This window comes from Homo sapiens, chromosome 2, assembly GCF_000001405.40.
Source record: "Homo sapiens chromosome 2, GRCh38.p14 Primary Assembly".
Classification (NCBI taxonomy): Eukaryota; Metazoa; Chordata; class Mammalia; order Primates; family Hominidae; genus Homo; species Homo sapiens.
This window is the reverse complement of record NC_000002.12, coordinates 151,840,602-151,864,501: the sequence shown is the minus strand read 5'-3', so window position 1 is coordinate 151,864,501 and position 23,900 is coordinate 151,840,602. Positions and strand designations below refer to the sequence as shown.

The window sequence follows — 23,900 nt, the reverse complement described above, 5'->3', positions numbered from 1 at the left end:
AATATAGACAGATCTTACAGCTGTTACGTTACCAGCGTGGAAATACAAATTATTTTTTGATGAATCTGTCATAACTGAAAGTAATATCTTTCCACAGAAAATCACAGAAAACTAATACAACTCACGATGGATTGCAGCAGTTAGGATGAATTCTAAAGTGGAAATAAGCAACAATTGGGGTTCAGATTTACTATATTTAGGGAATGATGTTTGCTAGTTTTCAGGAACATTCGCTGCTACATCCAGTCTGCTGGGGAACTAAACTCCTATTAGTCTTTTACCTACTGGCCAGCAAGTCACAGAAAGTTTTCCAAGGGAACTTTTTAGAGATGTATACCAAACAAGGTACATGGGAATGCTGAAACTAGGGGGACTAGCTGAGACTAGGGGGTCTCAGCATAGCAAGAAAAGAAGTAGAAAGGATACCACTTTAAGTTAAAAAAAGTATATAAGCTAGATAGTATTCAGTTGTGAATGTGATTGCTTTTCTGGAGAGCCTTTTATAAAAAAGAATTTTGGGTTTGGTGTCTGGTTTTGATAATAATAAGCATCTATGCACAGAAAAGGGAAACTCCTATTTTGTCTTACTGAAGGTTTTCTAGGGCTGTGCATGTCTTCTTCTGAGCTCTGTTTTATGCATGTGTATTTTTATTAATCAATAACTTGTATTAGCAAACTAACTTGTATTAGCAAATAAAATGAGAAAACGTGCCCTTTATTGTCTGCATCTTTCCCTGTATTGGAACACATGAAAAGGTTTTTTTCTGAATTTTTTCAAACTTTGGTCGTGTTTGAAAATAGCTTTGTAAAAGTACTTTTATAACTCAGAAAAAAAAAGTGTGAATCTGATGATAATCCCTTCAGATTTGAAGAACCAAGAGTCTCTTGTTTGTATAGAACTAGAAAATTTTATTTTCACTAAAGGAGACTGGAATTCAACTTTCTGGGTTGTTGGGCCCTCCAAACATCATTAGTCCAAAAATCATTGGTCTAGAAAGTTGAATTCTGTCCCTAAACCCACCGACTTGTCTCTCGTCATATATTTGGATTGCTCTGAAACATGCCTGTATGTTTCTATCCAGCAGCTCCATTCTTAAATAAACCAGAAACCCAAAAACACAAAAATAAACACACATCGCTGAGCATGGTGGCTCACACCTGTAATCCCAGTGCTTTGGAAGGCTGAGGTGGGTAGATCACCTGAGGTCAGGAGTTTGAGACCAGCCTGGCCAATGTGGTGAAACCTCATCTGTAGTAAAAATACAAAAATTAGCCATGTGTGGTGGCACATGCTTGCAATCCCAGCTACTTGGGAGGCTGAGGTGGGAGGATCGCTTGAAACTGGGAGGTGGAGGTTGCAGTGAGTTAAGATTGCACCACTGCACTCCAGCCTGGGTGACAGAGCGAGACTCCGACTCAAAAAAATTAAATTAAAAAAAAAAAACCACACAAACCCTATTCTGGAGAGGAAAGGAGCTGCCTATGAGACTTCATGCCTGAAAGCTGCAGTGGCCAACTGGAGTAATAGAAAGTCAGGTGTGGGTTTACTCTACCTCAACTTGATTTAAATTCTCACTATCTCAGAGCAAGGCGAAGACTTGACTGTGCATCCATGCTTGACCACTTGACTCATAGCTTGAGATTCGGGCTTGTAGAACACTGAACTGTAAGAGAATGGTGGAGTCAGGTGACTTGGCACTGGCCCGATACCCAGGGGCTAGTTTAGACCTGAGCTGTAACTAACCATGTGCAGCTTTCTGTGTGTGTCTCAGTTTCCCTCTTGGTAAGATGAAAAAGTTGTTACACCAGTGTTTTCCAGTGTCTTTTAGCAGTTGAACAGCTTTTTATAGTGAAATCATATATAAAGCCCCAATGCAGAAAACAGAAATGCAGACATGTTTACCTGGCACTGAGGATAGTGAAGCTGGAGCCCACTGAACCTCCCTTTAGTCCTCAGAACAGTCCCTGAGGTGTATCTGCAAAAACTCTTGGTTTCTGCGGGAGACAATTTTGAAGATGCATCAAATAATGAAAAGGGTCTAACAGTTCTAAAATTTTAAGAATTGAAAACTTCCTGACAACCCACAGCATATAAACATAATGACACAGGCAAGCAGTGCTTTGCTTAAAATGGCACCAGAACTTTTGCACAGACTGTTGTTTTAAAGAATGATTTCCAACCATCTGAGGAAAGGACTATTTTAAATTCTCTCCAAGGCTTTAGGTCACTGAAATCAGGTACAGTCTCCTGACATAGCTGGCAGTGTTGTCCCCAGACAGGTATGAAATGACATATGTTTCAGTAATTGATAATTCTACCCTCCTTCCTGCTTCAATCCCCAAAGAGTTTGAAAACAGAAGAGAATGGGTGTACTAACTGAGTATAAAAGGGGAGGGGTGCTACTTTCCTTGTCTCCTTTCTGGGAACCATGCTGTGAAGATGAGAATGGAGAAAGGCCCATGGTGACAGTAACTGGCCTAAAGAGGCAAGCTTTGAATTCTACTGGTAGATAATTGGAAGTTGAGCAATCTCAGTTTAAAATAGTCTTTAAATTCTAAGTTGCAGATATTCTCATTTGATAAATCATATGCAAATAGATGCCCCTCTGCATTTATTTGCAATGTCTTTGCTTTATTCTTCAGTTTTTTTTTTTTTTTTGAGACAGGGTCTCACCCTGTCTCCCAGGCTGGAGTGCAGTGGCGTGATCTCGGCTCACTGCGGCCTCTGCCCCCTGGGCTCAGATGACCTCCCCCACCTCAGCCTCCCAAGTAGCTGGAACTACAGGCATGTGCCACTGTGCCTGGCTAGTTTTTGTATTTTAGTAGAGACGGAGGTTCACCTTGTTGGCCAGGCTGGTCTTGAACTCCTGACCTCAAATGATCCACCCATGTCGGCCTCCCAAAGTGCTGGGATTACAGGCATGAGCCACCATGCCAGGCCCTGCTTTATTCTTCTCTTGCATGACCGAAGGATACTTTCTAACGTAGAAAATCCTGGCACAATACTCACATTACTTTCAACTAGAGTGCCTTATGACTGCCCACCGTATGCATTCAAAGTCTTATGCAAATATGCTGAAGAATCTTATGCATGCAGAAAAAATAAAACCATTTTTTCACATTCTTATAAATGAAGTATCCCTTTGGGCCTGTGGAGAATCACGTGTGTATCACAAAAGAATGCAGCTTAGCCACAGACTGGTAGATTGTCTTTGATAATCAAAATGAAGAGGGTTTCCCAGCTTTGACTGGCATCATTAAATGCCAGAGCAAAGCATTTGTAGTTCCTGAAGGTCTTGTTCAAGAGCAAATCAACTATGAATTGTGGCAAATTGTATTGCTACTTCCTAGAAAGAGCATGGTTTATTTATATGTCTTGATTCCTTCCTGGTGTGGTGTATATTATAAAGGGAATTCAGCAAGGCAGGCCATAATGGAGGAAGAACATTTTTACTGGAGTAGGTTTTTTTGTGTGTGAAACAGTTTAAACCTTCCTCCATTCTGCTCTGCTTGCATTCTGATACTAGCCAGAGCCTGTTTAAAATACTTGTGGCCAATGTTTGTTATACTGTGGTTCCCCTGTAGCATGTAAATTGGTTATTAAGTACTGTGGTTATAAATCACTTGGAGAGCCCCATAACATTTTTACTGGCTTGTTCTGTTCTGTGTTCCTATTCATAGGATTTCAATAACGAGAGTGACAGCTGACATTTCTCTTGCTAAGAGGTCTGTCCTAAATAATCCCAGCAAGAGAGCAATAATTGAACGTTCGAACACCCGGTCCAGCTTAGGTAAGATGTTCAAATGTGGTACTTCTTCAAGCTGTGCTTACAGACCGGGCTGACACATGGTGCATTTGTGAATGTCTTTTTCAATTTGTTCCCCATTCTGAACGGGGGAGCACTGAGTACCTAAAAAGAATGCTAGCTATGGACAAGAAGGCAGCAGAGTCTTGCAGTAGCGAGAGCTTGCTGTCTCTCAGCTTTAGTCAATTAGCTAATTAGTAGTCTGGTGGAAAGAATCCTCAATGGGCTCTCCTAGTCTTTTCCTGCCTAACTACATGAAACCAGTCATCTCCACTTTGCTCAGCTTCTCAACAAGGCTAATGATATCTGTCATACCTGAGTCACAGCTGACATAAAAGGAAACGAGGTGTTCAGCCTTCTGAGATCTTTAGAAGAAAAGCTAGATAACGGTGTTCTTGGTGTTGTGAATGGCAATGACCATTAGTAACATGCAGGGACTTTAAACATGTCTTTCCTGGGGTACCAGTTGGAAAGCATCCTAAAATTCCCCATGATGGAGAAGAATAAAGGCTGTAAGTGAGTAGCTCCGTCAAGCCATAGGTGAGCAGGGCTGTGGAGGATGGATCATAACCCACAGAAGCGAGTCCATAGTGCTGGTGAATTACATCGTTCATCTGGAAAGCCTGTTCATGGTCTCCACGATTGCCAAGGGTGGTGTAGTCCACTCATGACTTCCTAGGATTCTCTTTACATTCATATTCTGAGGGCAACTTGTTTTAACTAGGAAGGATAAATAGGGCTCTTCCATGCCTTACATTTTTTAAACTGTTGAAATTAGCTCTATAGATAATAGAAAAATAAAATTAAGATTTCCAAGACAGAGTGCATGCCCTAACATCACATTAAGAACCCACTGACCTTGAGCCAAAGATCGTGCAATTTGTAAAGAAGGTACAAAATATTATCTGTGTGTTCCTGACATGGGATTGGCATGTGATAATTGCTAATAAATGTGGGATGGTTGCTTTGTGAAGGATTACTAAACATACCAAATAGAGTAGTGGTCAGTGCTTGTGAGGGGAAGATCCCAGCGATTAGTGGTCCCTTCTTTTGTCTTGTATTTAGAGCCTTCCACATGCAGAGGGAAACATGCTCAAAGGCACAGTATTTTGACCTTGAAGAGGTACAATGGCAGTGTTGATGGTGAATCCTATTAGGTAATGACTAAAGTTAAATATCATGGGTGACAGGGACATTAAGTTAGGTTGAAGTTTCTCAAACAAACATCAATTCTCTGCTCTCCTGTTTTCTACCCATTTTGTAACTCCTTATAGTGTCTTTGGCTTTTAAGTACTCCTTCTAATGTATGGTGAGAGGCTAAAAGATAATTAAAAGCTTAAGCCAGGTTGTCTGACTCCTTTAACCATTGACACCTGCCAAGGGCTTCATGTGTATTCACTGAAGTCATTCCTTACAATCCATTCACCTGCTGTCAGAGTCAGTGGGGTGGATGGGGGGCATGTTAGTGTAAACAAGAAGAAACAAAGTATATCTCACCTCATGGTTTTTACCTTTACTCTGTAAAGTCATAAACCCACAACCATTGGAATTAATTTCATGGCAATCTATTAATTTTATAATAACCACAATGTGATCCATTTGTGTGCTTGTTAATGCACATTTGTAGATTCCTTCATCAAATGTTTATTGAACACTTGTTATGTGCCATGCATTGTGCTAGACTTAGGAAATAAAGACATAACCCACACACAGTATCTTACCCATGGGCAAAGAGACAGAAGAGACAGATGGTTAGAATACCTGTGACAGTGGAATTATGAACAAGGAACTAGGGGTATAAAGAAGAGTAGGGGTTAAGAGATGTGTGAGAAGACTTCTCAGAAGTTATATTTGAGCTGGTTCTTCAAGGCAGGCAGGAATGTACAAAGACATTGACATGTAAACAAAAATATGTTGTTGAGAAACAAGTAGATTTGTGTATAGCATGCTTAGAACAGGGAAGTTGGTGGTGTGATTTGAGAGGAACAGAAGAGATTGAAAAAGATTGAGGCCAATGTGTTGGGGTTCTAATGCACCTTGCTAAAGAGAACTCCAAAATAGATCCCATGCAATGTTAATTTTACAACATAGTAACAGTTGTTACATTCAGAATGTTTTCCATTGTCAAATAAATTTGGAAATGATGAATTAAACTGACAGGTTTCTTCTCTGCAAGACTTAGAGCCTTGAAGATATGAAGGATAATGCATGTTTGAAATTCTAAAGAGAAGCTATTATAGTATTCAATATAACCCTTACACAAAACCCCCTTCTTCCCATAGGATATCTTATGAGATTATTGTTCCAGAGTACTCACTTTGGGAAATGTTGCTTTGGACCCTGGGGAGCCATTGAAGTGTTTTAAGCATGGGAGAAATATGAACAGGTTTGAGTATAAGGGATATAATTTGTGACAGGGATCCTGGAGAGAGGTGGGCCCAAATCATCATGGTCAGTTTATAGAAGTGTTCATCGAGGTCCTCCAGCATCATAGTCCATGACTCCCCAGGGCTCCATTTGACTGGAATAGGATTATGAGGAAAACTTATTTGGAACCCCTCTGAGAATCAGTCCAGGTAGCCAAGATTTTTTGATTTGGTTGAGATCTTTTTCTTTAAAAAACAAAAAAAGAGCTATATAGATAAATATGCCTCACAGATAAAATATATTTATTACATTCTGTATACATATTATCCAAACATTGGGCTCACCCCAGTATTTAATGTGGCCTTCTCCAGCATCCCTGCTGGCTTGTTCTGCCCAAGCACCTCTCTTCCTCTGCCCAAGTGCCTGTTGCCTAAGAGTTTTGTGTTGGTTAAGCAGTAGGTATGGCTGCCCTTGCTCCTGGCAGAAACCACACTTAACCTCATTGCTGGTGCAGAGTAAATAAGGCCCAGGTATTTCTGAGTCATTTACACAGAAACTCAGAGTGCCTTGAGGGTTATTTGTACCAGGGCAGTCCAGTTCACATCAATGTCTTTCTGCTGCTTCTGAAAATATTGTATTCATATTTGAAGCTTAAGAAAACATAGGCTTGCTCACATGTAGTCCTGGCCAGGAGCTCCCATAAGCCAGTGACAGTTTAATGAAAACAGCAAATGGGAAACATACCCTGACATCCTGAGGCTGAAATTTACTACAGTAAAAATTGACTTTATTTTCCAAACTTCCTTCTGAAGAAAATTTATTTTAAAACTGTTTCTGCCATGTGAGAGAAAAGGGGACAAATATGCTACATTACTAACAAATGTAGAATATGATTTCAGAAGAATTTGACAAATAAGCCCACTTGTTTTCATTAATATTCTGAAAGCTAGTCACCTTTCCAAGCAATGTGAAGTCTTTCAGGCCATTGGTATTGGATAACATGAAAAGTGATATGTTGACTCTTCAAATTAATCCTTTTTAATACAGATCATGCCTTAAACTTCAGTGATTCTATGGGAAATAAGAATTTTATGCAATCATGCAAAACATAAGAAAATAGATTTTCATGATAGTCTTGAGTATTCATGACCCTGCACACCTTGTCAATCCTTTTGGTTAAGGAAGGGAGAATTTTTTGGTGGGCTATGTGAACTTGAATTTATACTAAATAAGCAAAGCAAATCACAAACACTTTTCAATGAGGATATTTAGAGCAACATTACCTTTTTCCCTAGGCCATCTTTAGGGTCGTTTAAGGCCGGGTACAATGGCTCACACCTGTGATGCCAACACTTCAGGAGGCCAAGGCAGGAGGATTGCTTGGACTTTGGAGTTCAAGACCAACCTGGGAAACTTAGTGAGACCCAGTCTCTACAAAAAATAAAAAATTTAGCCAGGCACAGTGATGTGCACCTGTAGTCCCAGCTACTCGGCAAGCTGAGGTGGGAGGATCACTTGAGCCCAGAAGGTTGAGGCTGCAGTGAGCTGTGATTGTACCACTGCACTCCAGCATGGGACACAGAGTGAGACCCTGTCTCTAAAAATTAATAATAATAATTTAAGTTAGATAGTTTTGTGTACTGTATGTACTTTGGACCAGATTACAGCATTGTTTGGTCACACCTATAGCCAAAAAATAAAAATAAAAAACAAAATCAGCTGGGCACAGTGGCTCATGCCTGTAGTCCCACCACTTTGGGAGACCAAGGTGGGTGCATCACTTGAGGTCAAGAGTTCAAGAGTTCAAGACCAGCCTGGCCAACATGGCTAAATCTCGCTTCTACTAATAATACAAAAGTTAGCCAGGCATGGTGGCGTGTGCCTATAATCCCATTTATGTGGGAGGCTGAGGTACAAGAATCACTTGAACCCGGGAGGTAGAGGTTACAGTGAGCCAAGATCATGCCACTGCACTCCAGCCTAGGCAACAGAGTGAAACTGTGTCTCAAAAACGAAAACAAATCAATTTCTCTGAAAATCAAATAGTATAATTCAGACTTTGGGCATGATCCAATAAGTCAGGTAATTTATAAAATATATATATATATAAAACTTTTTTATATTTCAGAAAGCCATGTCCTATGTTGATTATCTGTTTTCCTTAAAAAAAAAAAAAACTGGATTGCTTCAGACATTTGAAAAGAGTAGATTTTTCATTTGACTAGACTCATGCACAGATTTGGGTCACTTGGCTATTACAGCCAGCCAGATAGATTTGCATCTAGATGCATTGCAGCGTTTTAATATAATTGGCCTTACTTTTTTTTTTTTAATACTGAAGCTAATTATGCCTTAGAACAAGTACATTGGCTTTCGTACTTAAATCTAACTAGACTTAGTAATATGATTAGTTTTAAGGGTAGACTCAGAACAATTAACCAGTGGTACAAAAATATGCATATCAGTCAAAACAGATGAGTTGTGGGGTTTTTTTAAAAGAAGCATGTCCACAAAGTATTAGTTTATACTTCGTTGATAGAAATATTTCAGTGTAATTTGCTTTCCATGTGATGTTGCTTTGCACATATATTTCAGTTGTTTTCTAAATGTGCTTTTAGCTTCTATGGCTAACATTAAAGTTCTTTAGAACAAAACAACAATCAAAAACAACATAAAATAATCATCGTAGTTATATAAACAGCTAAATATTATATTGACTAGAAGAAGCAAATTAAGAGAGCCATCTCAGACGTTTCTACCAACTGGTTGTATGCAAAACTCAACCCATCTCTGTCTATATTTAGAAAATGTCTTAAATTAGACAGGACTATGAAAATTTAAAATGTTTTATTTTGTAATGTAGACCAACATATCTGAAAATATACTATATCTTTCTAATGTAAGAACTAATTCATAACAATAACCGGGATCTATTTATTATTTTTCCTTTAAGCGGAAGTACAAAGTGAAATTGAAAGAATCTTTGAGTTGGCAAGATCTTTGCAACTGGTTGTTCTTGATGCAGACACCATCAATCACCCAGCACAACTTATAAAGACTTCCTTAGCACCAATTATTGTTCATGTAAAAGTCTCATCTCCAAAGGTAATTAGCTCCTTTCTGCCTTAAGGTTTAGAAGTGCATCTTTTAAAAATGTGTTTTGCTCTGTGGTTTTTTGTTAGTGGACAAAGGAGAACGTCTTGCTGATTATTAATAAGCACATTTAAAATCTTTCCACAGTGTACAGATTCTATGAATTTTCAGATAGTGAAGAATATAATAGTTCATTTCTTCTAAAAGCTACTATTGTAGATCCCAAACAAGACAGTTATGCAAGTGTATAATAGAAACAAAACATTAAGACAGATGTGGAAAAGTAGACTCTGGCTTATCATAGACTATGAATTCTATATTGGTAAATTTCTTGGATCCTGTTGATTCCTGTGTCATCCATACTCTGTACCTAGTTGAGAGAGTACATCTATATTGATCAAAAAAGGCATCTATGTTGATCATATATAAAATAGAATATCACTGTTTAAACATCTCCTATGGAAGCATTATAGACCCTGACATTTGTGCTTAGGTTGAGTTCTTGAAAGAATGTGGTTATTCCACGATAAGCACAATGGGAAATTTGCTTTGTATCTTTATGCCATTGTGGGAGGTAAAAATAAAAGTGAAATAGCCCCAAATTGGTTTCTTTTGATTTGGGTGTTCTTTCATTTTTAAAAAAGGATGTTGTTCTTAAAAAGTTAACGTGAAATGGTTACCCTTGGGAAGTACTATCTTAATAATCAGTTTCTTCTCTGTGCCTCCTAGTGTATTTTGGTGCCTAAATACAAATTCAACTGCCAACCAGCATGGCAGTCTTCTCTCATGGGTGGAGAATGTCTAAAGAAGCTGTACTCTCCTCCAGATGTTCTGAGATCCTAGCCTTCCATCTATCTCTGCAGACACTGCTTTGGTGCAGTGGACTTGGGAATCCTGAACAAACTAGGGCCTTTTGAGAATCAGTAGAATGGATTGAAAGAGCTGCTGGGGGTTCAAGCACTTCACTGCAGTGCAGGAGAGTTCAGCCCTTCCCACTGCCCATGACACTGTGGTGTCCTTAAGTGCAAGAACAGGAGTTCCCAGACACCTATGTCCTGGGGTATTATAGAGCTCATAGATTAGCATTGTTTGCAGGGGAAGGGCCACGGGACATGGCAGTATATGACCAAATGCAGTTACAGCAGTGGCCAAAAGACATAGATATATCACTGGTTTACATGTAGCAATATACTAATACAAATGTTTTGCCTGGGTCTCCAATCACAGAATAGTCTGATTAATTTAAAATTAAACTGAAATGTCCCATTAATAATCGGTGACAAAAATAACCAGAAAATGACTCTGACATTTATCTGACATGGAGATAGTGAGCTAAAACATTATTCAGGTGAATAATATTAAAGTATTACTTAACATAAATGACCTGGTACAGTCCACTCCCTCCATTTTTACAGGTCTCTCTTTGAAATCTCTGGGAAAAATCTAGGATGGGAACTCAGGCTCCTCCTGAGACTTCACACAGAGTTAGAATAGGATGAACATATCAAATCCATGGAACTGAGAGCCAATGTAAGCAGATGACATCATTACAGGTTTAAATATATGATTTCTCACACTGCATTTCCTCTCTGATAATACTCAGGGCCAAGCAGACCATTAAAAAGATCCTGGCTTATTTGATTTTCTTTCAACTCATCTACAATACCTCAGGTTCATGTCTTCTTCTATCAGGTTTTACAGCGGTTGATTAAATCTAGAGGAAAGTCACAAAGTAAACACTTGAATGTTCAACTGGTGGCAGCTGATAAACTTGCACAATGCCCCCCAGTAAGTATGATCATTTTTTGTCTTCATCATTCTTGACTAGTTAGAAGAGGGTGGGTTTTTTTTTCTTCATATTGTTGTTTTCATTCTAAAATGATGGTGATGATGGTATGTTGTCATCTAAAAGATTTCTTGGAACAAACTGCTGCTGTTATGTTGCTTGTATTCAGGCATCCAGATGTGGATGGTGTTTGCCTTGTAATAAGAAATGAACTTAGTGTCCGGGGTCTGTTCTTCTCACTGCTACCTTGTTTGCTTTGCAAACATGCAGCAAACCACTTAGCATTCAGCCTCCAGTCACATGGATACGCTTAAGAAAAGAACAAAAGAAAACATACCAATTTGATCTTCCTTTAACTCTTCTGCAAGAAAATTCCAGCAGGCATAAAAGATTATGACACTGAAGGTCAAGAATTGATTGGAACTAGAGAGGCCCTGTGGTTATAGTAGATGAAAGAGTCAGGGCTGAGTCAGATGAAAAACGAAATTATAGCAACTCTTCTTCTAGTGCCATTGCCAGAAAACAGCTGCTGGGTTAGAAGGTGAGCAATGGTGGGATGGGGTGGGAGATGGAACTGCTATCACATGGCACTGGGTCCCCAGTGGCCAGTCTCTCCACTTTTCCCACTGACTTACTATTTCTGTGCCTATGTTTCTGTAAAGGAAATAACTGTCCTTCTTACTCAATGGATTCACTAGATTGTTTTATACACTTGTGTAGGATTGTTTAAGCTCTATGGAAGCATGAAATCTGATTCAAATGTTTAGAGAGGGCAACACAGCATAACCTGTAAAAGCACAGACTCTGGAGCCAGATATTTGGGTTTTGAATCCACACTGACTAGTTATGTAATCTTGGGCAAGTACCTATCTCATGGGATTGGTGTAAGGATTGAGTGAGTGAATATGTGGTAAAGCTGTTAGAACAGCGCCAGGAACATAAGAAGCACCGTCTAAGTTTTCTTATTATAATTACTGGATACACTTTGTGTGACGTCATGTCTGGTCCAGTAGACTCTGTAAGAACCCGTGCCCCTCTGGCTCACTGTTGTATGTCAGTTCCCTATCATAGTAGACCCATAATATATATTTGTGGAATGAGTGAATAAATGAAAGGATGTTCAGACGATAAGAGTAATAATGCATCCTTTCATTAGATGCTTACAGTTGGCCACACAGTGTGCTAGATGCTTTACATAGATTATCTCTAATCTTCACAGTTACCTGGTGAGATAGGCCATATTATCTCCATTTTATAGTTTAGGCAACTGAAAACAGAGACATTAAACGATTTCCCTAAGGTGACATAGCAAATTAGGATTCAATCTATTCTAGATCTATCTGGCTCCAAAGACAATTTCCTACCCCCTAACCCATCCACCCATACACACATGTACCTGGTTACCTACCCTGAAGATAATTTGATAGCTTGGAGCATGGCGTGCTCTGTTAAGTTTCACTTCACGCTGCCTGTTAGTGAAGCCCAATTACACAGTGGAATGTATGATTAAGGCACTGAACAGACAGAGGAATGTATTGCCCAGCCCTGACCTTCTAATGTTTCACAGTTGAAGGAAGATAATCTTTGTTGTCTAGCTATCAAAAGCCGGGAACTATGTTATTATTTCCAATTTTTGGAACAATCTTATAAGGATAGTTATATCAGTTTGGTCTTCTGGGAAGCAGACACCTAAATGGAATTACAAATGCAAGAGATTTATTGGAGAAATTTTATCTTTATGAAAATAAGTTTATTAACATTTATTCTAATAATTACTAGAGAAAATTCTTGTGTCCTATTAAATTTGAGGGATTTTAGCTGCTGAGAGGGTTGATCATTGAGTAGTTGTACATATAATATGGTTTGTTACATCTGAAATAGCTGGAATCAAGAAAAGATATTTGCATCTGTAAAAGCAACTAATATACTGAGCTACCTTAGGACTTGTACCCAGGTCAGAGATTTCAAACAGCTCCATGACTGGAAAGACAGCCTTGCCTTACCATTATCTCAGTAGGATAAACACTTTATCTTTTTATATAATTGGTAAGATAACCTGGAATTTTAAACAGGCAGTCTGGATGGATAAGGTTACCTTGTACTTAGCATTTTCTAAACACTGTTTACTTTATTAAACATGTTCAATTGATACTGCACAGATGTAGTAATGCTGAGGAGGAATAGTATCCTCTATTTTGGCATGTGTGAAGAAATCTTTGGATTATAAAAACCAGTAGTAACCTTAAAATGTGTCTGCATTTGCCCCTGCTTTACTTCAAGACCATAATTATAATTGTCATCCAAAGATTGGTGATCACTGTGTCATTTTAATTCCTTTAGGAGAATTTGCGACTTACTTAATTGGCCACCATATCTCCAGTATGAAAAGTCAGCAAATTACATTGGCAGAGTATCACATTGCTAAGAAATGAAAGGCAACAGTTTTTGGAAAGGGAAGCCTATAGGAGCTCTGAAAAAAGTTAACGCTGTAGCCAGAATTAATCCTAGATCCAGGGACTGTTGAAGCAAAAGGGGACCTTAAAGAGCACCCAATATAGTATTTCCTAGACTATATTATTTATAATATGGGTCCTATGTGATATCAGTAAGTGTTATGGGAAAATAATCCTGATACCAAAAATGTTTGAGAAAACACTTAGGTGAACAAAGGTAGTCTGGTTTCTTTACTACAGAACCCTGAATATGCCAATGTGTATTTTATATCTCCAATAGGACAAATAGTGTGCACAGCTTCCCCTAAAATTGTGACTGCAGATCTGCTTTTCCATTGAGCATCCTATGGGTCCAGTGGAACATGTCTAGGGAAAGACTTAGTCCAATCTCCTCATTTTACAAATGATGGAACTGAGACCAAGAGAACTGGCTTTTCAAAGGTTGTATGCCTGGGCCAAAGTCAGCTTAAGATCTCTTTCTCCTAGTCTAGCAAGACTAGATGATGAATGGCAACAGGTCAGTTATATATTCTCCTGGAAAGAAAAGTATGGGTTTTGGCCAGGTGCAGTAGCTCATGCCTGTAATCCTAGCACTTTGGGAGGCCAAGGCGGGTGGATCATGAGGTCAGGAGTTTGAGACCAGCCTGACCAACATGGTGAATCCCCGTCTCTACTAAAAATACAAAAATTAGCCAGGTGTGGTGGTGCGCACCTGTAATCCCAGCTACTCAGGAGGTTGAGGCAGAATTGCTTGAACCTGGGAGGTGGAGGTTGCAGTGAGCTGAGACCATGCCACTGCACTCCAGCCTGGGTGACAGAGCAAGACTCTGTCTCAAAAAAAAAAAAAAAAAAAAAGAAAGAAAGAAAGAAAGAAAAGAAAAAGAAAAGATAAGTATGTATTTCATGGGTAAGGATTTTTCTAGGAGAGAGATCGGTGAACTTTTTAAGTAAAGGGCCAGATAGTAATATCTTAGGCTTTGTGGGCTATATAGACTCCTTTGCAAAACTACTCATCTCTGCTCTCGAGCAGGAAAGCAAACATAGACAGTGTGTAAACAAATGGGTGTAGCTGTGTTCCAATCAAACTTCGTAGAGGCATGAGACAGGCCTGATTTAGCTGGCAAACTGAACTTGCCCCCTTGTTCTGGGACCAAGCTATGGTTATCTATTACTCTGCAATAAAATAATCCCCAAAACTCAGTCACTTCAAACAATGGCCACTTGTAGTATTCAGCTGGCGGCTGACCTGGTACCTTAGCAGAAATGGCTGAAGGCTGGGCTCAGCCAGCTCTTTTTGAATACAGGCTCTTACGTGGCAGCTCCCAGGCTCCATGAGCAAAGATTCCAATCTTTTACAGCCTGGGCATAGATACCAGACCACATCATTTCCACAGCATTCTGTTTATCAAAATACTCACAAAGAGCTGGGTGCATGGTGAGTGCCTGTAGTCCCAGCTACTCAGGAGGTTGAAACAGGAAGGTGGCTTGAGCCTAGGAGTTCAAGGCTGCACTGAGCTGTGATTGTGCCACTGCCCTTTAACCTGGGAGACATACTGAGACCTTGTCTCTAAAAGGAAATTTTTAAAAATTAGCTGGGCATAGTCCTAGCTCCTTGGTAGGCTGAGGTGAGAGAATTGCTTGAACCCAGGAGTTTGGAGCTGCAGTGAGCCAGGATTATGCCACTGCACTCTACCCGACAGAGTGAGACATTGTCTCTTAAAAGAAAAAAAAATCACAGAGGCTGCCTAAATTCAAGGAGAGGGGATATAACTCTTCATCTCCATGAGGGAATGTCAAGGAATTTGTGACCATTTAAAATCTGTCATAGACAGTAAGATGAGTGGGGAAAATGGGCTACTGGATAGTTCTACTTTGGAAGAGGAAGGACTTTCCTCTCGTTGCCCATTCGGAATTCACAGAAGAAAAGATGGGATGCAGACAAAAGGGGACCTAGGGGAACAGGACCTGCAAACCCATCTCATTTTTTTTTTAATATGACCAGCCTGATTTTGTATTGCCATTATACATCTATACACTACATTTTTTTATTTCTTTTTGCTTCTACCAAGTATTGATATTCTTTTTCTCTTCAGATAAGTTGAAAATAGTATGTTTTTTAAGAAGGCCAAGTGTAAACTTCCCCAGTACTATGGTAATAAGAAGAAAAGCTGAGAGACAGACAATTGAACATATAAATGAAATGTAATCCTTTAATCCTACTTAGTTACAATCTGGCTTGTGTTACCCAAAGCTGACCCTGTGGCTGTTTGAGCTGTGTAATGTTTTTTTGTGTGTAAAATGACATTGATCACTCCTTCTGGGAGAGGGGAACTCATCTCCTCAGTAGAGTCTTGCAAACCTCTAATGTTACAGTAACCATGGTCACTCTGTTCTGTCGCCCTTTATTTTCCACTGCTGAATGGACTCAGATTTATCCTATGAAACACAAGAATTCTGGAGCGAATGATAGTGCCCAGTTATCCTTGATCATATTGCTCTCACAGTAGTAATTTTCCACTGCCCTCTTCCAGTCATTTTATTTGAATTATTTAGAATCGTGTGGATTTACCTGTCTATTTGAAGTGCTCTCCTCATTGGTGCATTCATTATTCACAGCCCCTGGATGTCCACAGTTTAATTCCTAACATTGCTTTTGAAAAGGGGGGTAATCAATTTCAGATGTTTGCTTCATGAAATAAGACCACATGGGATCCAATTTCTCTCAGCCCAAAGGGGACTACACCTTTTCCAGGGATTTCAGCCACTGGACTTGGGTATATCGAGTTAGGGGTAGTTCATTCCCACCAATGCTATGATCTAGCACATCCAATTAATCTGACTTTAACAGAAGCATGGGATACCTTTTCTGTAGGCACTAATGTTGGTAGATGGTATTATCTTTGAAGAATACGAATGGACAGATGGAGGGGCGTGGGGAGGAAAACATGTTTGGGTTCACATCAAGTGTCACAAATTATCAAGAGAGAGGAAGTCAAAAGAATCAAAGTTATATATTTTTTGCCCTCATTTTAACCTCACCAATTACTGGCAAGAATTATGATTATCTTTCCTGTTTAGCTCATTAAAGTGGAAACTACCTGGAACTAACTGCTAGAGCCCAGTAATATTGTCACCCCGGTTGGAGTGCAGTGGCGCGATCGGAGCTCACTGCAGCCTCTGCCTTCTGGGTTCAAGCGATTCTCCTGCCTCAGCCTCCCAAGTAGCTGGGACTACAGGCATGTGCCACCACACCCAGCTAATTTTTGTATTTTTTAAAAGAGATTTTTGTATTTTTTAAAAGAGATGGTCTCAAACTCCTGACCTCAGGTGACCTGCACACCTTGTTCTCCCAAAGTGCTGGGATTACAGGTGTGAGCCACCGCACCCATCATAGATCTTTTAAAAGCCCTTCAACTTAGAGTCTAATTTCCCATCATTAGTTGACCAGTGAGTTAAATACTCAGAATCTCAAAAGCTTTAATAATGTAAAGAATGGAGTTTTGATATGAAAGAACCATTGGGTTGATTATTTTTATAATTAGCATTACATGTTGTACCATTCAGCCGTTTGATTTTACTGAACAGTACTTGCCAGTCTTTTTTTGTGCATGGTTTGTTTTGTTTTGTTTTGTTGAGACAGGGTCTTGCTCTGTTGTTCAGGCTGGAGTGCAGTGGTGCAATCATGACCTCCCCAGCTCAAGCAATCCTTCTACCTCAGCCTCCCCAGTAGCTGGGTCCATAGGAATATGCCACTAAGCCCAGCTCATTTTTTGATTTTTTGTAGAGACAGGGTTTTGCCATGTTGCCTAGGCTGGTCTTGAACCTCTGGGCTCAACTAATCCTCCTGCCTTGGCCTCCCAAAGTGCTGCCCCAATCTTTTTTTTTTTTTTTTTTTTTGGTGTCAGTTTCAGGGTCTCTATATTTTACAATAGCAAGGAAATAAAAGTGTGCTCACCCATATTATTTCTTTTTACCACTTAGAAATAAGAAAAATGCCCAACATGCAGTTTTATCTATGTACAACAAATAAATGTAAAGCAATGCGTATCATTATAATTATTATTATATGCATGGGAGAGTTTTGTTACATTTAATCCCCTGTCTAGCTAATATTCAGTAATGAGCCAACTTTAAAAAGTGAAGTTCAGGCACAGTGGCTCATGCCTGTAATCCCAGCACTTTGGGAGGCTGAGGCAGGTGGATCACTTGAGCCCATGAGTTCAATATGAGCCTGGGCAACATGGGGAAAACCCATCCCTACCAAAAACTACAAAAAATTAGCTGGATGTGGTGGTGCATATCTGTAGTCCCAGTTACTCAGGAGGCTGAGGTGGGACAATCACCCGAGCCCCAGAGATTAAGGCTTCAGTGATCGGAGATTACGCCACTGCACTCCAGCCTGGGCGTTGGAGTGAGACCCTATCTCCAAAAAACAAAACAAAACAAAACAAAAAACAAACAAACAAAAGTTAAAATTAAACTGCAAAATTAGTTTCTACAGTTTATAAACTTTTTATTAAAAATATTCAATAGCTTCCTAGATTTAAAAAAACAGACAATATGCATTAGTTTTAATGAGATTCTCCCCTCCATGCTAGAAAATATGTATTTTATAGTCATTAAGGAAGACTTACCCAGTGTCTTTATATATCTTCCCTCCAAAAAGAATTGAAAAGAAATAAATGGAATATGCTTCATTTCCTCCAGGTAGGACCCGGAGAGCACTGTATCTTCTGTAAAAAGTAGGGTGACCCACCATTTGCTCAGAATTTTCAAGGTTTAGCAGTGATAGTCTCATGTCTCCTGAAACACTGAGATCCCCAGCAACCACAATCATTGGTCACCTTAATTCAGGTGGCTTCCCTAGTAAAGAGCATTACTTCTTACTCTGTAAATGGAGTACCAAACAGATGGTTAAATACTTTTTTTTAAAGACCTTGCAAGTATTCATTTCCATTTTATTCAGTTTCAGTCTTTCTTCCCCTTTCTTTCTTCTCTGCCATTTTAGCTTTCATACCCACTAAATGAGCTAGAGGCATGTTTTTCACTCTTCGTTATTTACAATGCTTTTCTTTTTAATTTTCTTGAAGGAGCTTATCCAGAAAGGGGGCCTAATGTGCCTGATTTTTTTGATGGTTTGTTTTGATTCCCCTATTCACTACTTATTTACTTTGGCAGCCACACCATTCTGTCTACCTCAGCTGAAGAGAATATCCCATCATACAAGGGCAAAGGTGTTCCCTGTGGCCATGCTTTGAAAACAGCTCAGCGTTGCCCTTCTCTTGGGCTGCACCAAGGGCATGGTATCACCGAGTGGGTAACTGTTCGCTGCCCGGGACTTCTGCTGATTAGGAGCTCTCTGCATCCATAGCCCATGCTGCAGGCCACATATTGCATAGTAAGGAGCTGACTACACTTGAACCTTTAAATTTATGAAAAATTGGCATAGCTGGTTTGCATAATTCATTGGGTTGCTTCTTTTTGCATTTCTTGTATGATTTTTAAAAATTGTTTTCCCTGATACTGAGTTTCTATCACTCTGATCTACTCAGCTGTGTTATTTCCTAAACAGCTAAAGAGAAAAATTGTCACAGATATACAGGCTGTGAAATTCTTCCTAGATGAAAATAAGCCACATATGTCAGTATTCATTCAGAAGCAGAAATTTGCTTTTCTCTGTGTTTTTTGAAAGCCTAAAAGCAGTTTCAAGTCATCTTCCAACCTGTATCTGTCTTTTAGCAGTGCAAAAGCAGTTTCCTAGAAATGACTGAGGCTTATACCATGTGCTGATATATACAAATTCTATCCATTCATTGGCAAAGAGAAGTGCTTTATTAAACTTATGGCAATTAAATGTGCCACTAATTATGTCTACAACCGTGACAATGTAACAAGTAGAACGGCCAAGTAGATATAAACCTCATTCAAATAACATTCTGCCATAGGTGCTGCTTACCCTCCTTGGGCTTTGCAATCCTGGCTGTGAATGTCAGGACCCATCCGGCCTAGGTATCCTTGGAAGGTTTTTCAGTTTGGCACTTTAAGAAACAGCAAGAAAATGATTTGTTGAGACTAATCAAACCCATATTATAGAATGAGACCCATGTAATCAAATTTTATGGTTCACATAAATAAAATGATATAAACAACCAACTCCAAGTCACATAAAATGTAGAACTTGCAGCACACTTTAGCCTGGAATGGCGGAAAGACTGGTCCTTTGTTCTGGTGCTGCCTCGTTTCCTCTTTCTTCCTCCTGTGCCATCTGAGTCTGTGGATGTCCTTTGGGGTGTAGCTGTCCTTGTCTCACTCAAGTCAGCACCTCGATGCCTCTATTTATGTCAAAGCATCATGGACAGTTCTGAGATTCTATATTTGTAACTGTTGAACTTTTACATGAGTTGGGGAGGGGCTTTTGATTGCAAGAGACAAGGAATTCCCTTGGGTTACTTTAGTGGAAAAGGGGATTTATTGTAAGCATATATGTTGACAGAAACTCTAGGCAGTAGCTGCTTTCCTTGGCACTCATGGCCATATGATCTCTTTCTTCCATTGTGCCTCTGCTTCTCTTTTTTTTTGTTTTATTTTCGTCCCTCTACAGATAACATTCTTTGGCTTACTCGTAACTTCCCCTTCCTTGTAAGTTCAGTTTTCACACATCTCTCCAAGCCTCCTTCCAAATCCAGAACTTTATGCTGCAGCTTCAAACGTTAACTGGCTCAGTCTCTTTATTTTTCTGAATTAAAGTCCCAGTGTGACATAGATTATTATGGATTTTAATACTTATCTCTCCCACCACACTTTATGCTTCTTGAGCATAAGATGTCTGTTTTCCTTGCCACTGTATACCCACAGTGCCTAGAAGAAAATAGGGACTGAGTATTTTATGAATGAATAAAATATGCAAAATAATCTGAAATCTACTAATAACTGTTCTTGGTTGGGGGGAATTTTCTACATGAGTTGAACTGGCTAAGTCTTCTCAAACATGAGTCCATTTGGACTGAAGTCATCTTATTCTTTTCCTAGTCTTGTTCCAAGAACCCCAAATGGCTTTCCAATTTAAGGCCAAAATTTTCCATAAAAATTGATGTGATGAAACATTTAAATAGTAAATGTTGGGAGAGAGATTGTTTCCATGGTGACTTCTGCTTCAGGAGTCCTTGTTCTAAGCACAGAAGAGAATGACTGAACTGAGACACCACTAACTTCACATCATCCAGTTGCCATTAACCTAATTTCAGCCAGCTTTATCAGTGCCGATGGCAGTGACCCTGTCTTTGATTCATTCCTGGGAGGTTCTTATTTTGGTAAAATGAGTTCATAAAAGCAGATGAAGGTGGTGGGAAAGGTCAATCCTACTATTGAAAGTTGAGATGTGAGCCGGGTGTGGTGACTCACGTCTGTAATCCCAGCACTTTGGGAGGCCGAGGCAGGAGGATCGCTGGAGCCCAGGAGTTTGAGACCAGCCTGGGCAACATGGTGAGATCTCATCTCTACAAAAAGTTAAAAAAGTTAGCCAGGCACAGTGGTGCATGCCTGTGGTCCCAGCTACTCAGGAAGCCGAGGTGGGAGGATCGCTAGAGCCCAGGTGTTCCAGGCTGCAGTGAGTTGTGTTTGCTCCAGTGCACCCTGGCCTGGGCCACAGAGCAACACTGTCTCAAAGAAAAAGAAAGAAAGAAAGAAAGTTGAGATGTGCTAACACTTACCTGTGGAATGACTTTTCTCTTTGTGTGGTGCCAAAGTTTTCTGGTTTCCCTCTGAAGAGTATATGTCTGGGGTATATCCTGTCTGTGTTCCCAGCCACACTGCAATGACAGGGGGGCCACCCTGCTCCTCTGGAACAGAACAACTTCCTGAGTACAGACCAGATGTTGAACAATGGCCTTACTGTCCGAAACGTGGACAGCAGATACTTCTTTTGTGACCCCCTGCTTTCCCTAACTAAACACCCCTTGTTCTTTTTTAACCATTTCACAAAATGATCTTGTGGTAGCAGAAACCACTGCCATGTGGTTTTCTGTTATTAATCCTAAACTTTCTTTCCTTATTGTTTTATCATAAAACAGATAATGTTATTTTCACAAGCATTCTGAAAATTACCTAAGTAAATGTTATTCCCTTCAACATAGTTACCTTAGGAGAAAAAATGTTTATTCCATTGATGTGGTCATTGCCCAAAACATGTCTAGAACTCCCTTCTCAGTGCCACAAACTTGCTTCTCTCATATTCCAAAGTGTGTAGAGTGCAGCTCTATAGGAATACATGGCTAAAGATGTGAATACACGTGGGTTTTTGTCATATTTTACCTGTAACACATTTACACTTACTTCATCTTTTTCTTTCTAAATAATGAAAAATCCGGCTGGGCGCTGTGGCTCATGCCTGTAATCCCAGCACTTTGGGAGCCAAGGCAGGTGGATCACTAGGTCAAGAGTTCAAGACCAGCCTGGCCAAGATGGTGAAACCCCATCTCTTCTAAAAAAAATACAAAAAAATTAGCTGGACGCAGTGGCAGGCGCCTGTAATCCCAGCTACTTGGGAGGCTGAGGCAGGAGAATTGCTTGAACTCAGTGGACAGAGGTTGCATTGAGCCGAGATCGTGCCATTGCATTTCAGCCTGGGCAACAGAATGAGACTCCGTCTTAAAAAAAAAAAAAAAAAAAAAAAAAAAAGATCCAAATATTGAATGAACACTTTCATTTTTATATTAATGTCTACATTCGTTCATGGATAACTGTGTAACTCTTCACTTGACCCTAACTTTAGAAACTGCCCATATAGCACCTCAAATTTGATTTTAGCTAATAGCTATTAAAAATGCTATTATCTGTGTTAAGTGGAATTTTAGGTTTCATTGCCTAAAACCTAAAATGGAAGTAAAGTGGATTTTCTTGTCATCTACAGGAAATGTTTGATGTTATATTGGATGAAAATCAGCTTGAGGATGCATGTGAACATCTAGGGGAGTACCTGGAGGCGTACTGGCGTGCCACCCACACAACCAGTAGCACACCCATGACCCCGCTGCTGGGAAGGAATTTGGGCTCCACGGCACTCTCACCATATCCCACAGCAATTTCTGGGTTACAGGTATTGTCACTTTTTCACTCATGCTTTTTACAACCTTACATGTAAAATTCTATGGGAACTTGATTAGGATGGAGACTGGAGTCATCCTTAATCTGAAGAGGGAACACTATGTGCACATTATATTTAAAAATCTTAAATATTATCTAATTATGATCTATCCTAGAGAAAACTACCCAGAGACTGACAATTTCCTGAGAATTATGCTGTCTGTGAATTTACAGTGGATTTTACTTAGGTAAATTAACTCCTCCTATGTCTAAACTCTGCTGGCAAACGTAATGCCTACTCAATGCACCTGCCCATTACTTTTTTTTAGAGACATAGTCTCACTCTGTTGTTCAGGCTGGAATGCAGTGATATGATCATAGCTCACTACAGCCTCAAATTCCTGGACTCATGGGCTTATGCAGTCCTGCTGCCTCAGCCTCCCAAATAGCTGGGACTACAGGCACATACCACACACATGGATAATTAAAAAAAAAAAATTGTAGAGACAGTGTCAGTGTCTCACTTTGTTGCCCAGGATGATCTCAAACTCCTGGCTTCAAGCAATCTTCCTGCCTTGGCCTCCCAAAATGTTGAAATTACCATCATGAGCCACCACTCCTGGCCCCTCCATTACTTCTTAATGCCACTTCTTAAGGATTACACAATAGCTAAGTAAGATATATAGGTGCAGATAGGCCTTTCAGCTGCCCTTAATTAATCCTGCCGCACCCAGGTTGCTAGGCCTGCTCTCTACCTTGCACAAGACAATGTGGATATAAGTAGAGCTGCTCTGTTCAGAAACAGTAACTGATCCCTGAGTTTTCTTGGGGCTGTGCAGGTGCCCACCTTTGTAAGTGGCTGTGGCACGTGTCCTTTAGGGAAGCTGGTGACGAACACAGGATCAAGAGGTTCTCCCTTCTGCTGTTCTGGTATTGCACTCAGAGGTAGAGATAGGGAACCAGAGACCTTATGGTACAAAATGAGCCTGCCTTTCTACATCAATTATTATTTACCATTCATCAAGTAGCTGCTGGAATGTGGCCAAACCCGCAGCAAACTGAGGAACATGTAGTCAATTGAGCCCTCTTGTATCATGATGAGTTTTGTTTTAATGGATTATAATGATAGTCTTAATTGTCGATCATACAGAGTTAACTCTGAGATAAATGGCACTCTCTGAAATGCTATTATAGCTGTATTACTCTGTTACAAAATTGCATCTTTGTAAGCAGAAAAACTGTCATGCAAATGAATAGCTTTTGAAACTAGAAATGAACATGAAAAATGTACTGTGGTAATGTACAGCACATACG

General features: G+C 39.8%; 1 protein-coding gene across 21 annotated transcripts in view; it reads left to right on the top strand.

Moving 5' to 3' along the window:
- The window catches only part of CACNB4 (calcium voltage-gated channel auxiliary subunit beta 4), a 266,397-nt gene that overhangs the window by 234,666 nt on the left and 7,831 nt on the right, over positions 1–23,900 (top strand). For 10 of the 21 annotated variants that reach the window (NM_000726.5, NM_001005746.4, XM_047445790.1 and 7 more), the window contains 4 exons: positions 3,682–3,791; positions 9,127–9,278; positions 10,959–11,054; positions 22,414–22,599. In NM_000726.5, coding sequence (NP_000717.2) covers positions 3,682–3,791; positions 9,127–9,278; positions 10,959–11,054; positions 22,414–22,599 — 544 coding nt within the window. Of the gene's footprint in view, positions 1–3,681; positions 3,792–9,126; positions 9,279–10,958; positions 11,055–22,413; positions 22,600–23,900 lie in introns of those variants that run through there. The other 11 variants (XM_011511797.4, NM_001330113.2, NM_001330115.2 and 8 more) reach the window with 6 other exon arrangements.